At 42.4% G+C, this 3,428-nt stretch overlaps 1 protein-coding gene across 1 annotated transcript; it reads right to left on the bottom strand.

Moving 5' to 3' along the window:
• Positions 1–489: 489 nt before the first annotated feature.
• SST (somatostatin) lies at positions 490–1,972 on the bottom strand. The gene is made up of 2 exons (NM_001048.4): positions 1,732–1,972; positions 490–855 (listed from the first exon to the last, which is right to left on the bottom strand). The coding sequence occupies exons 1-2, from the start codon at positions 1,867–1,869 to the stop codon at positions 643–645; spliced, it is 351 nt and encodes a 116-aa protein (NP_001039.1). The 5' UTR covers positions 1,870–1,972; the 3' UTR covers positions 490–642.
• Positions 1,973–3,428: the final 1,456 nt, after the last annotated feature.

Raw genomic sequence — 3,428 nt, forward strand, 5'->3', positions numbered from 1 at the left:
ATTTCTCTAGATAAATGTTTACAAACTAGAAACAAATTCAGAACCTCATTTTAGCTATTTAAGTCAGATTTTTTCTCAACCACCAAATGACTTTGTTCCTTCCATCTTTTCATATGTTATGTATTTTACATATCAACCTGGTAGATAGTTGGATTTTTCAGCCTAACTATTCACACACACTCATTTCAATAGTCCAACATATAATTTAGGTGTACTTAATATGTAATTAATGTTTATGTCAGCCTCTCCCAGTAATTATCATTGAATTAAAGTTTGAATGCATAGAGTTATGTGAAATTATTTCTGTTTAAAATGACTCATGTTATAATAGTTATCATTTAAAATGTAAACTTTATTGCCACCGAGAATTTTAAATAGATGTTTGTGAACATTGGAGTACCTATCTCAAATAACTTTACTGAAACCGCCACTCAAGCTTATTATGTATTATTGAACAAAAAGATTTACTCAATAGAAACCAAATTCACATTTTTCATAATTTCACCATAATTTTATTTTGTATTTACAGTTTTCAGTTTCTAATGCAAGGGTCTCGCTGAAGACTTGGAGGATTAGGGAAGAGAGATGGGGTGTGGGGGCGAGGGATCAGAGGTCTGATATGGACAATACTAGTTAAGAAAGCTAACAGGATGTGAAAGTCTTCCAGAAGAAATTCTTGCAGCCAGCTTTGCGTTCTCGGGGTGCCATAGCCGGGTTTGAGTTAGCAGATCTCTGCAGCTCAAGCCTCATTTCATCCTGCTCAGCAGCCTGGGACAGATCTTCAGGTTCCAGGGCATCATTCTCCGTCTGGTTGGGTTCAGACAGCAGCTCTGCCAAGAAGTACTTGGCCAGTTCCTGTATAGGGCAGAAGGGATAGAAAAAGAGAGAAAGAGAAGTGGGGAGGACAATGGAAAAAATTTGAAAAGCCTAAATTAAAGAACAGATTTGGTCACACACAAAATCCAGTTTTTACAGCTGCGCATTTTTTGTCACATTTAAAATCAATCAAGGATATAAAAATAAGGATAGTTGCTATAATTACCAAGTTACACAAAAAGGCTTTAAGAGCTCAAATGTTTCTGCAACCTTTCTGTCCCTGTAGACTTAACACACACACACACACACACACACGCACAAACACACACACACACACACACACACACATAAAGACCGTTCTGGTAAGATAAAGTGTGTGCCAACAGTTTAATTCAATTTTCACATCACGAGCTACAAAGTAGAATTGTTTTACCATTTTTACCAAGTAAACTGTAGGGGAACGAGACTTCTCACAATCTCAAACATACGGCGTTCGGTCTTTAGATTGCCCCTTTGCCCTAGTCCCGACGTTTGGAAGTGAGGTACGCTAAGAGGTAGCAGCTTCAGAGGTCTGCGTTTCAGCACCTGGGTCAGCGCTTCCCAGGGTCAGCACCAGGGATAGACGCCATTGTCGCTTCGTGCCCAGACAACTACCCAGATTTTGTAATTTTCTTGAATGCCAAGTAAGAACTCACCTGAACTGTGACCGACTGCGCTTATCATGGGGGAAAAAAAGAGTTAGAAGGGGATTCTAGCCTTTGATAGTTTTCTCAAGAGCTTCGGGAGCTGAGGGACCCAGAAAAGCACCAAAACTCTTTAGAAGGACTGAGCATCCCTTACGTCCAAACCAATGGGGCAGGAGCAAGGCTTAGGGAGGGCTGGAGAATCCGGGAGACGTCGAGGGAGTCTCCTTACCTGCTTCCCCGCGGCAGCAGCCAGGGACTTCTGCAGAAACTGACGGAGTCTGGGGTCCGAGGGAGCGCCGGTGACACAGCCCAGGGCCAGGACGATGGACAGCGCAGCCAGCGCGCACTGGAGGCGGCAGGACAGCATCTCGGCGCCGCGAAAGCCGAGCTGGAGAGTGGCTGGTCAAACTCTAGGCGCGGATCAGCAGGCAGCAGCGATGGCTCCGAACCTCGCTCCTAAAGCGGCTTGTGTGCTCTCAACCGTCTCCCTCTGTTTTAAACTCTCTCTCTGACGTCAGGCTAGGAGGCGCCCCCAGATCTCACCAGCCCTTTTACGCACCATTAGCCTCGCAAAATCAATCACAGAAGACAGGGGAGGTGACAAGATCTAAAGTGGCTTACTTAAAAAAAAAAAAATACTGCACACGCACAGGCACACACAATTCCACATGCCCCACGATTTATACAATCTTTTATTTTCACTCAGTGCTATGAGCATACACATTCCACAATTTCACTCCCACACATGCACACTCAATTACACACAAACAGAGGCTCAAACACTCAGCTCTTAAAGAGCAAATACACTATCACCCTTAAATGCACACAAATGTACCCAGACAACTCCATCTGTCATCATACTCTAACATTTTAGGAAGGCCCAACAAGCAACAGGGCATGTGTATGGTAGGTGGAGATCAGAATCATTCCTCTAATAACAGATTTGAGAATGAAATATGGACAGTAGAAGGACTGAGCCCTCTTTATTTCCTCCATTATCTCATAAAAAGCCTTGAAGATGTAACGGGGCTCTAAAAGAACTTCACTTTTCTCTACAATGGGGGAGAAGGTACCTCTGGCTCACCCTCCCTCCCTCTTTCTCAGCAACTGAGACTTCTGATCTACCTGCCTTTCTATTGTGACCATATATATGTATGAGTGTGTGTATATGTACGGGAGGGAAAGAGAGAGAGAGAGATTGAAATGGACTTCATTTTGGTGCTGAGAAATTTAGAGCTGGAAGGCAATCTAAGAAATTATTCAATAAACCTCAGAATTTGAATCAGTAAGGCAGAGTAATGGTCAGTAAATTGTTCTCCTTCACATACTGCACACTTTGAGCAAAACCAGACCTCCACATTCCAAAGCCAGTGTTCCTTCTACTGAGCTCTGAGTTTTCTAACAGATTCCTGGCCGGTAAGCATAGTTTTATGTCAGGAAGCCCCAGTTTAGACATATAAGGTCTAGGAACTCCCAGAACATATGTGACCACTATTGTATATCTATATGTGGAAAGGATCAAAAGATTCTTGGTTAAATTCAGCTCTGCCTGATCTCCTAGAAACAAAGAAAGTTTAAGAAAACCTGTCCTTGAATTCTGATTGAACTCTGGTTAAATGTTTACTGTTCAGGCCAGAGTTCTGACTGCTTTTATCTAAATAGTTCCTTACTGAGGAAGGACCAGCTAATTTCCTAGCATGGACGAGATGATCCCTACAGGATCTTTAAGAGCTGTTATCTTATGAGCTTCAAAAAAGCCAATATTAGCTAAAAAGATATGCTGCATCTCTGGAAACCATGCGAAGCTCATATTAGGTATTAAAATATTCTCAGTACTTAGACCCGAACCACAGTGTTGAGAGGCAGAAGGGTTTGGGAAGTATCCTGAATGGCTTGAATAATTGTCACTATTTCTTTTTGTGCTTG

The sequence above is a fragment of the Homo sapiens genome, chromosome 3 (assembly GCF_000001405.40).
Source record: "Homo sapiens chromosome 3, GRCh38.p14 Primary Assembly".
NCBI classification, from domain to species: domain Eukaryota; kingdom Metazoa; phylum Chordata; class Mammalia; order Primates; family Hominidae; genus Homo; species Homo sapiens.